This window comes from Homo sapiens, chromosome 2 (genome assembly GCF_000001405.40).
Source record: "Homo sapiens chromosome 2, GRCh38.p14 Primary Assembly".
In the NCBI taxonomy this organism is placed as follows: Eukaryota; Metazoa; Chordata; class Mammalia; order Primates; family Hominidae; genus Homo; species Homo sapiens.
Window position 1 is genome coordinate 38,697,108 of NC_000002.12, and position 17,235 is coordinate 38,714,342.

Below are 17,235 nucleotides of genomic sequence, written 5' to 3' on the forward strand. Positions count from 1 at the left end.
GCACCTAGTGTCACAAGAAAAGATAGTTAAACTGTGTCTGAAAAAGTGGCTTATGTGGGGAAATTTGTGATGGATTTAGGGAAACTTAGGGTAAATTTTAAACATAAGGCCTTTTGTCAGATCACCTACATTCCTCGGATTGTGCGTGGGTTTGTCGCAGGTGCTTGATGTGACAAATTACACAGCTTCTATTGCTTCATTTGATCAGCCGCCTGTTGACTTTCAGCCAAGTCCTGCAGGGTTGCTTCTCAGATTGTATCTTTCTGCAAGACAAAGATGTTTTCATAGTCTCTCTTTAACTTCTCCCTTTTGTGGCTATTAATTTATACTTATATGTTTTTCAACTCCTTATTTTTGTTTTCTCTTTATAAAAGTTTTAACGTGTGCTATTCTTGAGGGAAATACTGATGCATATCTAAACTTTAGGGGTGTTTTTCACCCTGGCTACAGACACTCGGTAAATAATTTTTCAGGTGATGGGAAAACACATCATCATGAGAATGTAGCAACTTTTATTTTGCAGTAACTGTTAAAATTGTGGCCACAGTGCTCAGTAAAAGGGGACCTTCCCCCTGTAGGTGTTTGGGGAGGAGTGACGTCCTGTCCTCCATTTTGTTAGTAACCCACTTATGGATGGGGCATTATCACCTAGAAAGAAAAGAGATACCATGGTATGCAGTTACAGGGAGCCAGAGCAAGAGCAAGACAAAGAAATTCCCTTACGTCTTCAATGCAGAGCCGGCATTTAGACCTCTACCCCAGGCAGGACCCACAAATCTTTGGCAGCCATGAGCACCTGTTTTGCTCCTGCCTTCTTCCTGTTGGCAATTTTGGGTTTTGGGGTTTTTTTTTTTTAGACAGAGTCTCACTCCATCACCAGGCTGGAAGTACAGTGGTGCAGTCTCGGCCCACTGCAGCCTCCGCCTTCCGGGTTCAAATGATCCTCTTGCTTCAGCCTCCCAATTAGCTGGGACTACAGGTGCGCACCACCACGGCCAGCTAATTTTTGTATTTTTAGTAGAGATGGGGTTTCACCATATTGCCCAGGCTGGTCTCAAACTCCTGACCTCAAGTGATCTGCTCACCTCAGCCTTTCAAAGTGCTGGGATTATATATATATTTTAAATAAATGAATAGAATTCATCACCTAACTTCTAAAGCTACCTCTGTAGATGAAATTCCGGCACTTAGGAGTCAGCAGTGGTGTATTGAGTGCATAGCCCTTGCTCACAGGTGCTTCTTTCCTGTCCCATGGCAGGTGGCACCAACAGAAGGTTTCTGCAAGGCTGAGAGCTCCTTTTACCCATGGACCAGGAGCAAAGTTTGCAGGTACACTGTCAGGCTGTGTTTGGATGTTAGCAGTTAATTTAGCTCTGCGTCTTCAGAGCAATTATTCTTAGCTACTTAAAAAAAAAAAAAGGAAAAAAATGACACCCATAAAGCATTTGCTGCTCCATAGGATGGGAGCACACTCTGTTGTTGGGCATATGAGTCCCTCTGGCATGTGTTTTCTATGTTTATTGTTGTCAGGGCTGTCCCTGTAATTTCCCAGAAGTAGAACTCCCTGAAGCTGTTTCCCAGAAAGGACAGGGGTGTAGATAATGGATGTCCAGAGACAGAGAACACTGCAGTGCCAGATCCCTGTGCTGCTTTGTCAGACATTTGTTTATATATTGTTTGTTTTTGAGATGGGGTCTCACTATGTTGCCCAGGCTGATCTTGAACTCCTGAGCTCTCAAGTGATCCTCCCACCTCGGCCTCCTAAAGTGCTGGGATTACAGGCATGAGCCACTGTGTCCAGCTGTTATTATTATTATTATTTTGAGACAGAGTTTTGCTCTTGTTGCCTAGGCTGGCGTGCAATGGCACATCCTCGGCTCACTGCAACCTCCGCCTCCTGGGTTCAAGCAATTCTCCTGCCTCAGCCTCCCGAGTAGCTGGGATTACAAACGCCCACCACCATGCCCAGCTAATTTTTGTATTTTTAGTAGAGACGGGGTTTCACCATGTTGGCCAGGCTGGTTTCGAACTCCTAACTTTAGGTGATCTGCCCACCTCGGCCTCTCAAAGTGCTGGGGTTACAGGCATGAGCCACCGTACCTGGCCCCAGCTGTTATTATTTTTAATTGATACCTAATACTTGATATCTAATACATATTTTATTGATACCTAATACATATTTACAGGGTACACTGGGATATTTTGATACATGTTTACAATGTATAAGGATCAAATCAGGGTAATTAGCATATCCATCACCTCAAACATTTATCATTTTTTTGTGTTGGGACATTCAAAATCTGCTGTTCTAGCTATTTGAAAATATACAATAAGTTGTTGTTAATTATAGTCACCCTATAGTGCTTTAGAGCACTAGCACTTATTCCCCCTATCTAGCTGTACTTTTATTAACATTAAACAACCTTTAGGCTGTGTGCGGTGGCTCATGCCTGTAAACCCAGCACTTTGGGAGGCCGAGGTGGACTGATCACCTGAGGTCAGGAGTTCAAGACCAGCCTGGACAACATAGCAAGAACCATCTTAAAAAAGAAAAGAGAAGAATATTTAAAATTTTCTTCACTGATCATTCAGGAGCATATTGTTTAATTTCTGTGTATTTGTACAATTTCAAAAGTTCACCTCGCTGTTGAGTTCTAGTTTTATTCCACTGTGGTCAGGAAAGATACTCGATATAATTTCAATTATTTTAAATTTGTTGAGACTTGTTTTGTGGGCTAACATATGGTCTATTCTGGAAAATGTTTCTTGTGCTGATGAAATAATGTGTTTTCTGAATCTGTTGGATGAAATGTTCTGTAAATGTCTCTTTGTTAGTCTAAAATGCAGGGTTTTTTGTTTTTTTGAGAGAGTCTCACTCTGTTGCCCAGGCTGGGAGTGCAGTAGCATGATCTTGACTCACTGCAACCTCCACTTCCCAGGTTCAAGCAATTCTCGTGCCTCAGCCTGCCAAGTAGCTGGGATTACAGGTGCCCGCCACCACACCCAGCTAATTTTTGTATTTTTAGTAGAGACAGGGTTTTACCATGTTGACCAGGCTGGTTTTAAACTCCTGGCCTCAAGTGATCCGCCCACCTCAGCCTCCCAACGTACTAGGATAACAGATGTGAACCACCGCGCTCAGCCTAAAGTGCAGTTTAAATCTAGTGTTTTGTTGTTGATTTTCTGTCTAGATGATCTGTTCAGTGCAGAGAATGGGGTGTTGAATTCCCCAGCTATTGTATTGGTGTCTATGTCTCCCTTTAGATCTAATAATATTTGCTTTATATTATGTATCTGGGCGCTCCAGTGTTGGGTGCATATATATTTAGAATTGTTACCTCCTCTTACTGAATTGATCCCTTTATCATTATATAATAACCTTTTTCTTTTTTTTAATCGTTTTTTACTTGACGTCTGTTTCATCTGATACAAGTACAGCTACCCTGCTTGCTTTTGGTTTCTGTTTGCATGGAATATCTTTTTCCACCCTTTCAGTCTATGTGTGTCGTTACAGATGAAGTGAGTTTCTTGTAGGCAACCGTAGTTGGGCCATGTTTTTTAATCCATTCAGCCAGTCTATATATTTTAAGGGGGGAAGTTTAATAAGTTTACATTCAAGATTATTATTGATAGGTGAGGACTTCTGTCATTTTGTTAATTATTTTCTGTTTTTTTAAATATATCCTTTGTTCCTTTCTTCCCCTCTTATTGTTCATCCTTGTGATTGGTGGTTTTCTGTAGTGGTAAAATTTGATTCTTTTCTCTTTCTCCTTTGTGTATGTGCTCTACCAGTGAGTTTTCTACTTTTTTGTGTTTTCTTGATAGTAATTATCATTTCACTTCCAGATGTGGGACTCCCTTGAGCATTTCTTATAAGGCTGGTCTAGTGGTGATGAATTCTGTCAGTTTTTATTTGTCTGAGACATGTCAGGCATTTAGCTTCAGGACCTGATTCTAGTTCCCTGCCCTGTGGCAACAAGTAGAAACAGATCCCTGGTACCCTGCTTAAGTATTACACCAGCTAGATGTGAGCAGATGAGAAAATCAAATCCTTCTATTTTGCCAGGGATTAATTCATTCTCAGGATTGTAAATATTACATTTCACCTTTCACCTCACAGAACTGTAGAATTAGGAGGTGAGCTGGGCAGCCTGCCCAGCAAGACATTATGATGTATACAATACAGTGCACTACTAAGGATGTGTCTTTAAAGGCATTTACAGCACACAGTTTTTTTTTTCCTTATAATTTTGCTGCTCTTTATTTGTAGTAGTAGATAAGGAATTAAGAAAGCAAAAATGAGTGCTTTGACTAGGTCTTTTGCCTTTGAAAGTAGCATTAGTAAAATCCCCTCTTCTTTTTTATTCTTATAAAATTTACCCAATTCACTCTGTCCCCCAGCCCATCTGTGTTCACTTGCTGTTCTTGCTGCTCTCAGTTTTTAAAAGCTTATTCTAAAATTACATCAAAGCAACCCCATTTTGACAAAATTAGAATTCTGGTAGGAAACGCTTGCCATGAGGCTGTGGAGAGAGGCCCAGCAAGACTTTTGTATTTTATTTCAACCTCTGTCGGTTAAACCTACAATTCGGCAGATGATATAATTACCTCCCTGGGGCAGGTCTCTATCTCTGCCTTGGAGAAATAGCAAAGTCCAAAGTAGTCTCCTCATTCAAAGATGTTGCAAACGAAGGCTGTTTTGATCTTTATGTATTAGCATTTGGGTGTTAATCTTTCTGGAGCTCCTGACAGAAAATTCCTTTAAATTTATTATATAATTCTAAAATATTGGACATATTTGTTTCAAGCATCTGTCAGTATCCTTACTCTTTCCATTTCACTCCCCACTGCCTTAATTAGTCATCAGGTCCTACTGATTTTTAACTCCTAAGCATTTCTCAAATCTGTCTCCTCAGTATGTATTGTTGGTTATATAACTCCATCTCCATTTTCACTGTGCTGCTTTAGACTATCTTTTCTTGTCTAGATTAGTGCCTGGCTTATATTATGGGCTTCATAAAGTGGGATCAATGAATGAATGATTCATAATCTGGACAACTGCACTCTAACACCTAACTGGAAAAAAAAAAATCTTAAGATCTATCTTCCATGTAAAAGCATCTATCTAAAATGCAAATCTTACTTTGATAATCTCCAGGTTAATAAACCTCTTAGACGGCTCTCAGGCCTCCCCAAAACCATCTCTCATTTCACTGATCAAAAAAATAAAAATTTAAAAATTTTAAAACTTAAAAAAAAAATTGAACATTTCACTGGTCAAAAAACAAAAACAAAAATGATCTCCGAGCATGCCTCCCTCACACCCCACCCTGCTGTGCATCCCTTTCCCACCCCCAGCCTACAGAGACCACCCAATAACCTCTTCTTTGCTACATGACCCTTACCCTCCTTCTTCAAGAGTCATACTTTCTCCTTAGAAACTTTTCCCCCCACTTTCTGGAAACTGTAGATTCTTTCTTGCTTATGGTTTTTGTAATGACATCAGCCATTTAGAATTCATGATGTGGCCAGTCTCTGCTATCTGCCTCTCCACAGAGCTTGCTCAGATAATCCATCAGGATTTAGTCACAGATCCAAAGTAGGGAGCTAGAAGGGAGCTTCAGGCTTGGTCTCTTCGGGTTGAAGCTAGAAAACTAATCTATACTGAACACAAAAATGAAGCTGAGTAATAGCCAACCTATACATCCTAGGAATTAACTATTGCTTATTTTGCCCCCAGCCAGTCTCTCCACACTCCTCTCTCCTTTACATTTGTTTTAAACACTATATATATATATACACTTTATTTATATATATATACTTTTTATATATATATATATATAATATGTGTAATTTTTTTTTTAATTAGCTGGGCATGGTGGGGTGTGCCTGTGATCCTAGCTACTCAGGAGGCTGGGAGGCTGAGGTGGGATGATATGTGGGATTTTATATATATATATATATATATATATATATATATATATATTTTTTTTTTTTTTTTTTTTTTTTTTTTTTTTGAGACAGAGTTTTGCTCTTGTTGCCCAGGCTGGATTGCAATGGTGCGATCTCAGCTCACCGCAACCTCTGCCTCCCAGGTTCAAGCGATTCTCCTGCCTCAGCCTCCCAAGTAGGTGGGATTACAGGTATGCACCACCATGCCTGGCTAATTTTGTATTTTTAGTAGAGACAGGTTTCTTCATGTTGGTCAGGCTGGTCTCTAATTCCCGACCTCAGGTGATCCACCCACCTTGGCCTCTCAAAATGCTGGGATTACAAGCGTGAGCCACCGCACCCAGCCTTAAACACGGTATATTAGCCCAACACTGTGTGAGAACTGGGATTCAGAAAACCAAGATATAGGTCTCCGTTCTGCCATCCACTAGCTATGCTATGAGTCAGCCATGAAAATTCTCTGGGCCTCATTGACTGAATCTGTAAAATCTGACTTGATGAGGATTATATTCATTGAACTCTGAGGTCCTGTCCATTTCTTACACCCTGATTCAAAGACCGCACAGAATCTCTAACCCAGATATTCTTAACTAGGGTTCTTGTATGTCTGGGAAGATGATGAAAGAACTTCAAGGGGATCATGAGCTCTTTAAATTCTATATAAAATCCAAGGCTGGGCGTGGTGGCTCACGCTTGTAATCCCAGCACTTTGGGAGGCTGAGGTGGGCAGATTGCCTGAGATCAGGAGTTCGAGACCAGCCTGGGCAACATGTTGAAACCCCCTCTCTGTGAAAATACAAAAACAATCAGCTGGGTGTGGTGGCATGTGCCTATAGTCCCGGCTACTCAGGAGGCTGAGGCACAAGAATTGCTTTGAACCCAGGAGGCAGAGGTTGCAGTAAGCCAAGATCGTGCCACTGTGCTCCAACCTGGGAGACAGGGAGAAACGCTGTCTCAAAAAATAAATGAATAAATAAATAAATAAATAAAATAAAATAAAATAAAATAAATTCTATGTAAAATCCTTTGTGAACTTGCTGCATCACCTTGGCCCACAAAGGGGGTTTTCTTATCTTTTTTCCTCTTTCAAAGTAATGATAGTCTATGGTTGCCCTACTATGTATTCTCTTTTTATTATTTTATTATTTTTTTTTTTAGAGACAGGGTCTCACTCTGTTATCCAGGCTGGAGTGCAGTGGTGCAATTATAGCTCACTGCAGCCTTGGCCTCCTGGGCTCACGCGGTCATCCCACCTCAGCCTCCTGCATAGCTAGGATCACAGGCATGCCCCCATCATGCTCAGCTAATTTAAAAAATATTTTTTTTGAGGCTGGGCACAGTGGTTCATGCCTTTAATCCCAGAACTTTGAGAGGCTAAGGCGGGAGGATTGATTGGGTCCAGGAGTTCAAGAACCTGAGAAATACAGAGAGACCCCATTTTTACTACAAAAAAATAGAATCAAAAAATTAGCCAGGCCCAGTGGCATTCACCTGTAGTCCCAGCTACTTATGAGGCTGAGGCAGAGGATTGCTTGAACCCAGGGGTTCAAGGCAAATTGAGCTATGATTGGGCACTGCACTTAGCTTTGGTGACACGGCAAGACTCTGTCTCCATTAAAAAAAAAAAAAGTAAGGCTACAGATAAGAAAGTACTTGGACAACAGTAAAAAAGTTAAACTCATGACATTGGACCCTATGAAATGTGTTTACCCTAGAGCTGTTTATTGTATGATAGGTCCCTGCTAGATAGTATTCAAGGTTTAATGCAAAAACTCCAAGGACCTCTCTTGGTAGCAGTGGTATTCTTTAAGACGGCACATTACTGAATCCTTCCTGTAAAATGGTCACAAGATCATTTTTATGAGCCTCTAGAATAACTCCTGAAGCTACTCATGCTCCCTACTGGAAAACACATTACTGTTACAAGATTGGCAAACATGAACCAGCATGGTAGAAATCTGGCAGGAAGAAAGCTCAAAATTTAGCACTTGGCCAGGCGATGTGTAATTCCTGTGAAAATTGCAGGCTAACAGTCAGTGAATTTGTCAGAAGGGGAATTATTTGCTAGAGCTCTGACCACCACCCTTGGAGAGTTGATGGTTCACATCTACCCTTCCTCCAGCCCAGGTCTGGACAAGGGCTGCCTCTAGTTCATTCCTGGTGCATAGCCATCCTTAGTGGTCACTACATTCTGAAGGGGCTTAGTGGGACTGTGGGCCTTGGGCAACGGACCTGATGTTAACTCAAGTAAGTTCCCAGAGCAGATTTGTATTCAGTTCAGCTAACATTTATAGAGCACCTACTGATTGCTACATGCTGCCTGAGAGATAAAGAGGATGGAACACTGTCTCTGCCCTTGAGAAGCTCAGAGGGATGGGGAGAACCTAATGTGGTCAGAGCAGTTGTAGAGATAATGCCTGTGGGACTGAAGGAGTGTAGAAGCCAGGGTAGAAAGAGGATTCTCAAGATTGTCCTGAGCTGTGAGAAGCCTCTCAGTGTCTGTGAGGATCTAGCCACAAGGAGAGTGAGAGTACCAAAGCACAGAATGCAGGAGTGGTGATGACTGTTAAGCCAATAAGCCAAAGAGACAGTTGGGCAGAGCAAGGGCTAGGGTGCAAAATTTAAGGCAGCATCCACTCCCAGGGTCGTGCATGTGCAGGGTCAGCACCTGAGAGTGTGTGTCTTCTTAAATTTTGCACCCTAGGCACCTCATTTGCCCAGCCCTACAGTTGGGTACAGTCATGATTGTCTTTCTGGGCCATGCCGATGAGCTGGGATTTTTTTTATTTTTTATTTTTGACGGAGTCTTGTGCTGTCGCCCAGGCTGGAGTGCAGTGGCGCAACCTCCCCCTCCGGGTTCAGTGGTCCAACTTCCCGCTCTGGGTTCAAGCTATTCTCCCACCTCAGCCTCCCGAGTAGCAGGGATTACAGGCGTGCACCACCACATCAGGCTGATTTTTTTTTGAGACAAAGTCTCACTCTGTTGCCCAAGCTGGAGTGCAGTGACACGATTTTGGCTCACTGCAACCTCCGCCTCCCAGGTTCAAGCGATTCTCCTGCTTTACCTCCCAAGTAGCTGGGATTACACGTGCCCGCCACCCTGCCCAGCTAATTTTTGTATTTTTAGGAGAGACGAGGTTTCACGATGTTGGCCAGGCTGGTCTTGAACTCCTGACCTCGTGATCCACCCACCTCTGCCTCCCAAAGTGCTGGGATTACAGGCGTGAGCCACCACACCCAGCTGGAATTTTAACTTTAGATCATGGAGGGCTTTCAAGCATTCTAAGCTGGGAACTGACCTGTCAAGATTGGCATTTTAGAAATCTCACCCCAGGTTGGGCGTGGTGGCTCACACCTGTAATCCCAGCACTTTGGGAGGTCGAGGCAGGTGGATTGCTTGAGCCCAGGAGTTCGAGACCAGCCTGGGCAACATATCGAGACCCCATCTCTACAAAAAAAAAAAAAAAAAAATTAGCCAGGTGCGGTGGCCCACACCTGTAGTCTCAGCTACTCGGGAGGCTGAGGCTCAAGGATTCCTTGAGCCAGGGAGGTGGAGTTTGCAGTGAATTGTGATCCAGCCTGGGTGACAGAGGGAGATTCTGTTTCAGAAACAAAGAAATATCACCCCAGCAACTGTTCTGGTGGGACTTGACTGGAGACAGAGACCAGTTTAGATGCTGTTGTTGGAGCTGGGCACAATGGTGTGTACCTGTAGTCCCAGCTACTCAGGAGGCAGAGGCAGGAGGAACACTTGAATCTAGGAGTTCAAATCCAGTCTCGGCAACATAGTGAGACTCCATCTCTTTAAAAAAAAAAGGGGGGCGGGGGGGTCGCTATTTTAATAGTCCAAGCAAGAGATGAGACCCAAATTAAGGGTCAGGTGGAAGAAGGCAGTTTAATCATATTTAGGAGGTAAAACTCAGGAGGCCTGAATTGAATGCATAGATGAGGAAGCAGGAAGGCTGTGTGATGACCCCGGGACTCTAGAGCAGCTGCTGGGCAGTAGAGATGGGGATGTTCAGTGAGTTGTGAGTAGGGGAGGAGGGGGAGCTGGCATGGGGGGCTGGGAGAACTATGGATTTGATCTTGAAATATTTGAGGTTAGGGTGCCTGTGGGGTGTACATCTCCCCTGTACACCTGACCTTACACTTCCAGCAGCTGGATGCATGAGTGTGACGTTAGAGAAATGACAGCTGGAGGCATACATCAGCGTGTACTTTGTAGATTAAGCCACGTGGATTTACCAGAGAGGAATCATAGACTGAGGAGAGCAGTGGTCTGAGGACCAAACCCTGGGAAACTCTAGGAAACAACCACCAATATTTAAGGTCCAAAAAGGGTCTACCTTAAAGTGCCAAGGGAGATGGCCAGGGGTAGAAGGCAAAGAAGGAGAAGAGGTGTCTAGAAGTCTTGGAGTGACCAACAGTGTCAATACTCCAGGGAGTCAAGTGGCAGGAGACCTGGGAACCTGCATGGCTGTGGTGGTTGTTGTCCTGACCCCGTTTAAGAATGTAACAGAGTGGTCAGGGCAGAAGCCAGACTGTAACCGTTTGAGAAGTGACAAAAAGTGAGGAAAGATTCAGGAATATAGGCCAATAACTGGTTCCCAACTAGGCAGCTTTCTTGAATACAGAACCCTGCCAGGCACAGTGCCTCACGCCTATAATCCCAGTCCTTTGGGTAGCTGAGTCGGAAGGATCACTTGAGGCCAGGAGTTCAGGACACAGCAAGACCCCATCTCTACAAAAAAAATATAAAAATTAGCAGCCGGGTGTGCTGGCTCATGCCTATAATCCCAGCACTCTGGGAGGCCGAGGTGGGTGGATCACTTGAGGTCAGGAGTTCAAGACCAGCCTGGCCAAAATGGTGAAACCCTGTCTCTACTAAAAATAAAAAATTAGCGAGGCGTGGTAGCACACACCTGTAATCCAAGCTGCTCGGTAGGCTAAGGCAGGAGAATCACCTGAAGCTGGGAGACGGAGGTTGCAGTGAGCCGAGGTCATGCCATTGCACTCCAGCATGGGCAACAGAGTGAGAAACTGTATCAAAATTAAAATAAAATAAAATAAAATAAAATAAAATAAAATAAAAAAGCCTGGCATGGTGGCTTGCACCTGTAGTACCAGTTGCTTGGGAGACCGAGGCAAGAGTATCTCTTGAGCCCAGAGAGCTAGGGGCTACAGTGAGCTGTGATCACGCCACTGCACTCCAGCTGGGTGACAGAGCAAGACCCTGTCTCTAAAAAAATAAAAATAATAAAAATAAATAAAAAAGAATCCTGGGCCCCACCTCAGAGATTCTGATTCATTTGCTTTAGCACAGGGCCATGGAATCTGTCCCAGCATCCTAGAAGCTACCTCAGTGAGTTAACAGAAAGGACTGGTATTGAAAGTGCTGTCGCCTGGGCACAGTGGCTCAAGCCTGTAATCCCAGCACTTTGGGAGGCCGAGGCGGGCGGATCATGAGGTCAGGAGAGCGAGACCATCCCAGCTAACATGGTGAAACCCCACCTCTACTAAAAATATGAAAAATTAGCCAGGTATGGTGGCGGGCGCCTGTAGTCCCAGCTACTCAGGAAGAATGGCATGAACCCGGGTAGGCGGAGCTGGCAGTGAGCAAGATCATGCCATTGCACTCCAGCCTGGGTGATAGAGCGAGACTCTGTCTCAAGAAAAAAAAAAAAAAAAAAGAAAGTGCTGTCAACAAGCTGTGACAAAGAGAAGGCTCCTCTGTGAGGCAGGGAAGTGGGGTCAAATAACAGTTTTTTTTGTTTGTTTGTTTGTTTTTTGAAGGAGAGGAGCTGATTTAGGACAAGTAAAATGGTTGTCAGAGAGCAGAGGAATCCAGGGAAGGCTTGAGACCGTGAATCTGTGGTGGCCTCTGCCGGTGCTTCTGTGGGCTTTCTCCAGCTCTCTCGGCAGGGCGGAGTCAGGAGCAGAGAAGGCAAATGGTGGGATGACCTGAAGTTGGGGTTTTATCAGAGAGGAGGAGCAGGAGGACAGGGTGTAAGGCAGATCAAGGAGTGTTACTAAGGGTCTCAGGTCCTAGACAGTGGGCCTAGACAGGTAGGCAGTGAGGGTTGTGGGGGACAGGGAAGACGCGTGGCAAGGGGCCCTGAAAACCAGGGGAATATGGCAACATCAGGGGCCTGGCAGTCCCAGGAGGGGAGCAGGTCTAGCAGGAATGCCCTTGTGCCTGTGCAGGAGAGCAGCAGGACTAGGAGGCTGCAGACAGACAGTGGGTAACTGAAAGGTGAACTTTCTACTAGACAGCAAATCCCTGGATGTCATCCTGATGGATCTAAGATGAAAAATACCCCACCATGAAAATGCCTTACGTGGTCCCAACCATGAAGCGTAAAATTGCCTTTTCACCTGAAAACGACCTGCAGCTTGGTTTAGCATTTTATGCTTCGGATGTCATCTAACATCCAGAAGCAATACCCTCCCCCGTTGCAAGTCAAGGTAAAATCAGAAAATGCTCGGTGGAAAGGAAAAAAAAAAAAAACATAAGACAAAAAGCCAGCAACAGAATAAAGCCGCAAACCCAAAGCACCAGCAGAGGAAAGGGAAAAAAACCTGCAGCATAGACAAGCTTTGATGTTGTGTGATCTGTGAAAAATGTATAGAAATGTTACCTTACCAAAAAATTCCCAAGGTGCTTTACTTGCCAACCACTGGAAGGAAGTAAAAATTCCCACCCAGGGTGTTACTTTTAATTATCATCCTCTTTATGTTGTTTCCTAAAATAACAACAGGCATTCTAGAGATGATTTACGAAGATGGCTTAATGAGGTGTCAGATGAGTACCTGTGCCCATGAGCCCCTTTACCGCAGGCCTCCTTATGCAAATTTGACTGACTCTTCTGAGCCCGACTAGATAAAGAAACAGACATAATTGGAGCAGCTGGGCTGGAAGCACAGCTGGGCTATCCTCATGGAGACCAGACTCTAGCACCACGTGCTCTTCCTGCTGCCCCAGTGTCCCTCCCAACTTTTGCTTTTCAGAGCAGCAGCCCACCTGAACCTGGGGCTTCCTCAGATGATCTCCACATCAGTGCTTGTCAGCATTCATGTGCACACAGATCACCTGTGCAACTTGTGAAAATGCAGATTCAGACTCAGTGGCTGGAGTGGAGCCTCTGGATCTATGTGTCTAACAAGCCCCTGGGTGATGCATGTGGTCATCAGATGGTCCTAGGTCCACACTTGGAGGAGCTATTTAGAGCCTATAAAATAGTTACTCCCCTATCCAGTGTTTGAGTCCCAGACTTCTGCATTCTGCCAGCACTCAGATGCTTCTGGGACAGGATGCTTACTGTGCATCTTGGGTCAACATGTCAAAAAGGCCTTCCTGTATTGAGGTGAGATCTGTCTACCTAGGGCTCACCCTCACCTGGCCTACTTCTGGGCCTTGGATCCTATGTAGCAGGCTTAAGGCATTAGAAAGTGGCTGGCATGTCCCCCAAGTATTTTATTCAGGCAAAACATGCCAGGTCCTCTGGCTATTATTTAAAAAATTTGTTGTAGAGGCAGGGTCTCACTATGTTGCCCAGGCTGGTCTCAAACTCCTGGGCTTAAGTGATCCTCCTGCCTCAGGCTCCCAAAGCGCTGAGATTACAGGCATGAGCCACCATGCCTGGTCTTGGCTATTTTTCTTATGCTATGGTTTGGTCATACTGGTCATTTCCTTCTTTTTTTTTTTTTTTTTTAGACGGAGTTTCACTCTTATTGCCCAGGCTGGAGTGCAATGGTGCGATCTTGGCTCACTGCAACCTCCGCCTCCTGGGTTCAAGCGATTCTCCTGCCTCAGCCTCCCGAGTAGCTGGGATTACAGGTGCCTGCCACCACACCCAGCAAATTTTTGTATTTTTAGTAGAGACGGGGATTCACCATCTTGACCAGGCTGGTCTTGAACTTCTGACTTTAGGCGATCCACCCACCTCAGCCTCCCAAAGTGCTGGGATTACAGGCGTAAGCTACTGCACCAGCCCCTGGTCATTTCCTTCTGATCCTGCTCTATGTGTCTTTAGGCCTCTCCTCTTGTGATACCCATGCTGCAAAAAGTAGCTTGGGACTGTCACCACCTCATTACAGATAGCCTTTTTTTTTTTTTTTGAGACGGAGTCTCGCTCTGTTGCCCAGGCTGGCATGCAATGGCGCGATCTCAGCTCACTGCAACCTCCGCCTCCCAGGTTCAAGCGATTCTCCTGCCTCAGCCTCCTGAGTAGCTGGGATTACAGGCGCGCACCACCACACCTGGCTAATTTTTGTATTTTTTAGTAGAGACAGGGTTTCACGACGTTGGTCACGCTGGTCTCGAACTCCCAACCTCAGGTGATCCGCCCACCTCGGCTTCCCAAATTGCCTGGATTACAGGCATGAGCCACCACACCTGGCCTTACAGATAGCCTTTATGTGACTCGTGTTGAACTTGCTGTCAGCCATCATCCTTAAATTCATTTTCACCCATGCTGTGGATCAGCCACATTTCTTCCTAGTCAGTTATTATCATAATAATTATACTTAATACTTATGAGAGTTAGTATAGCAAGGTGGTTAAGAACATAGTCTCTGGAATGAGACTGCCTAGTGAGAAGCACTATGATTAGCACTGTGTGTTATCTGTCACCATCACCATCATCATCATCCATCACCATCACTATCAACACCATCATCATTAACATCACCATCACTATCACCACCATTATCACCATCACTGTCACCACCATCACCATCACCATCACCATCATCATCATCACTATCACCACCATCATCACCATCATCACCACCACCATCATCATCATCATCAACATCATCACTATCTTAAGTAAGTGCTTTGCCTACATTTACTGATTTAATTCTCATAACAACTCCATGTTGTAGGGGCTGTTGTTATCCCAGTTTTACAAGTGAGGAAGTGGGGCCTCACAAGATTATGTTTTGTGCCCAGGGTAACAGTGACAAGAAGCTAAATCTGAGCAGTGTCCTTTGGTTGGTTTTGTTTCATTGTTGACTAAAGTCCAAGACCATATCTGTTCCTGCTATTCATAAATTTCTTCTTTTAGTCAGCATTTTACCCTTACTTTACACTATCTTTTGGATTCCTGGTTCTGTCATCCCAAGTGTATCTGCCTCCTAGCTTCATGCTGTCTGTTATATTGTGAGAAAAATATGTATCTTCACCTAGTCATACACAAGGTCAGAGGCCATGTGGCAATTCCCTACAGATTGTGCTCACTGAAGCCCTGATGGTGCATATCTCCTGAAGCTCCCTGAGCCTGTAGTCTTGTAACCCACTCAGAGAAGCCTAGAGAGTGGTCAGGCATGATTTGTATTTGAACATATTTGTATTTGGTTCCTGGGAAACATGTTTCCTCTTCGCTTTCAGGTCTCCATTCCAGAATCCTTTCCAAGATGGACAGCACCCTCCAAATTTATAGTTGCTGAAATCAGTCCTCTGGGCAGGGCCAGATGCAAGGAACAAATAGAAAGCAGGGTCTGCAGAACACACATCCCAGAGGCGATAATGACCAGTTAATCCCCGCAGATAGTTAGATCTAGGAGACTGTCCCTGGGCTTCAGGGCTCCCTGCTTCTGACTCCAGCAGTGCAAATGAAAGCCTCTATGTTCCCACTAAACCATAGGTGACTGAGCAGCCATGGTGTTGCCTGCGTTTCTATAAAGGAGGAGCGCAGGACAGCAATCTCATCAGAGCGGAGGCTGGGGCTGGCCTCGAATTTAGGTTGTATGTTTATTTGGGGCGATGTGCAAGCAGGGGGTGCCCTGATAGAGATTACAGGGGCTAAATCCCCCACATAAAACCATTTTGTGCCACTGCTCCTGGGCCAAGTGACCAGAAAGGCTGGACTGATTTCTCCCCTCTCTCCTTTCCTGGTTCTGTTCTCTGACCCTGGGTGATTAATGTAACCTAGCTGTGTTCAATTACCCACCCTTTTCACGATGCTGGGATGTCTGCCACCTGTCCCTAGTGCCCTTCTTGGCTTCCTGTGAGTCGTGACTGTGGGAGCCTTGCGACTTTTGGAGGAGAGCAGGAGGCCCTGGGTCTGCCATCAGCATGGGCTCCCTAATCACACCATTGTCACCGGAGCCTACCCAAGCTGCTGGGAAGTAGCAAAATAAGCATGCAGGGAACATTCTTCCACCCCAATATGTTCCCCTCATGAAATCATCAAGCAAACCCTGAATGCCTTCTCTTGGTGTGGTCAGGCAGAAGGGTTGTCTCTCTCATACTAGAGCAGTCAGTGGCCATTGGCTGACTGATCCTAACGGCAGATCTAGAAAGATTTGGAGAAGGCTGTCTTGGTTCTCTTAGAACAGCATGTGGCCCTAGCAGTCCTCCTGTTCTTGGACAGTGGTGCCCCCCTCATGCCATGAAAACTGATGGGGCAGGCAGGGGAGCTCCAGCCAGAAACGGGAAGTGTCTCAAACCTTAGTGAAGTGATCTTGAATCGCTGATTTACAGGGCTGATTTTGACACATTATTCTCAGGAAAACAGTGGTTTAGGGCATGGTCTCAAGCTCTGTCTAGGTTGAAATCTTGTCAGGTGTGCTGGCTCACATTTGTAATCCCAGCACTTTGGGAGGCCAAGACAGAAGGATTGCTTGAGCTCATGAGTTTGAGACCAGTCTGAGCAACATAGAGATACCCCATCCCTACAAAAAAATTAAAAAATTAGGTGGGCATGGTGGCACACACCTGTAGTCCCAGCTACTGAGGAGGCTGAGGCAGGAGGATCACTTGGTTCCAGGAGGTCGAGGTTGTGATGAGCTGTGATCGTGCCACAGCACTCTAGCCTGGGCAACAGAGCAAGACCCTGCTTCAAAAAAAAAAAAAAAAATTTACCAGCTGTGTGATCTAGGACAATTTATTTGAGTTCTATAGGCCTCATCCAATGATAATAATTGGACTTACCTTATTGGTTGTGACAACTAAATAAAAAAAAAATACATATAAAGTGCTTAGAACAGTTCCTGGCATTTAGTAAGAGCTTTGTAAGTATTAACTATTATTAGTACCATCATCATCTTTATTGCCACTATTTACTGAGTGTCTAATATGTACCAGACATGTCTAAACACATATAGTACATGCATTATTAGCTCATTTAACTACTTTGGGGTTTTTTTTGCGGGGGGGTTGTTGTTTTTTGAGATGGAGTCTTGCTCTGTTGCCCAGGCGGGAGTGCAGTGGTGTGATCTCGGCTCACTGCAACCTCTGCCTCCCAGGCTCAAGCAATTTTCCTGCTTCAGCCTCCCGAT

The 17,235-nt window shown here is 44.8% G+C and overlaps 1 protein-coding gene and 1 long non-coding RNA gene across 5 annotated transcripts in view, besides 1 other annotated feature; one reads left to right on the forward strand and one right to left on the reverse strand.

Annotated features, from left to right (window-relative positions):
* The window catches only part of GALM (galactose mutarotase), a 68,652-nt gene that overhangs the window by 30,994 nt on the left and 20,423 nt on the right, over positions 1-17,235 (forward strand). Inside the window, exons 5-6 of one of the 3 annotated variants that reach the window (XM_011532540.3) lie at positions 1,259-1,329; positions 2,430-5,198. The exons of 1 other annotated variant lie outside the window; for it this stretch is intronic. In XM_011532540.3, coding sequence (XP_011530842.1) covers positions 1,259-1,290 — 32 coding nt within the window. In that variant the 3' untranslated portion in view covers positions 1,291-1,329; positions 2,430-5,198. Of the gene's footprint in view, positions 1-1,258; positions 1,330-2,429; positions 5,199-17,235 lie in introns of those variants that run through there. One more of the 3 variants, XM_047443419.1, reaches the window with a different exon arrangement.
* The window catches only part of LOC124905993 (uncharacterized), a 49,668-nt gene that overhangs the window by 13,225 nt on the left and 19,208 nt on the right, over positions 1-17,235 (reverse strand). For both annotated transcript variants that reach the window (XR_007086292.1, XR_007086291.1), the window contains exon 2: positions 130-263. This is a non-coding gene — a long non-coding RNA (uncharacterized LOC124905993). The remainder of the gene's footprint in view (positions 1-129; positions 264-17,235) is intronic.
* Positions 12,707-12,907: a silencer, noted in NCBI's record as "peak3666 fragment used in MPRA reporter construct". NCBI's record gives its function as "represses an SCP1 promoter by STARR-seq MPRAs in K562 erythroleukemia cells {active_cell/tissue: K562}" and the evidence as "EXISTENCE:reporter gene assay evidence [ECO:0000049][PMID:32103011]".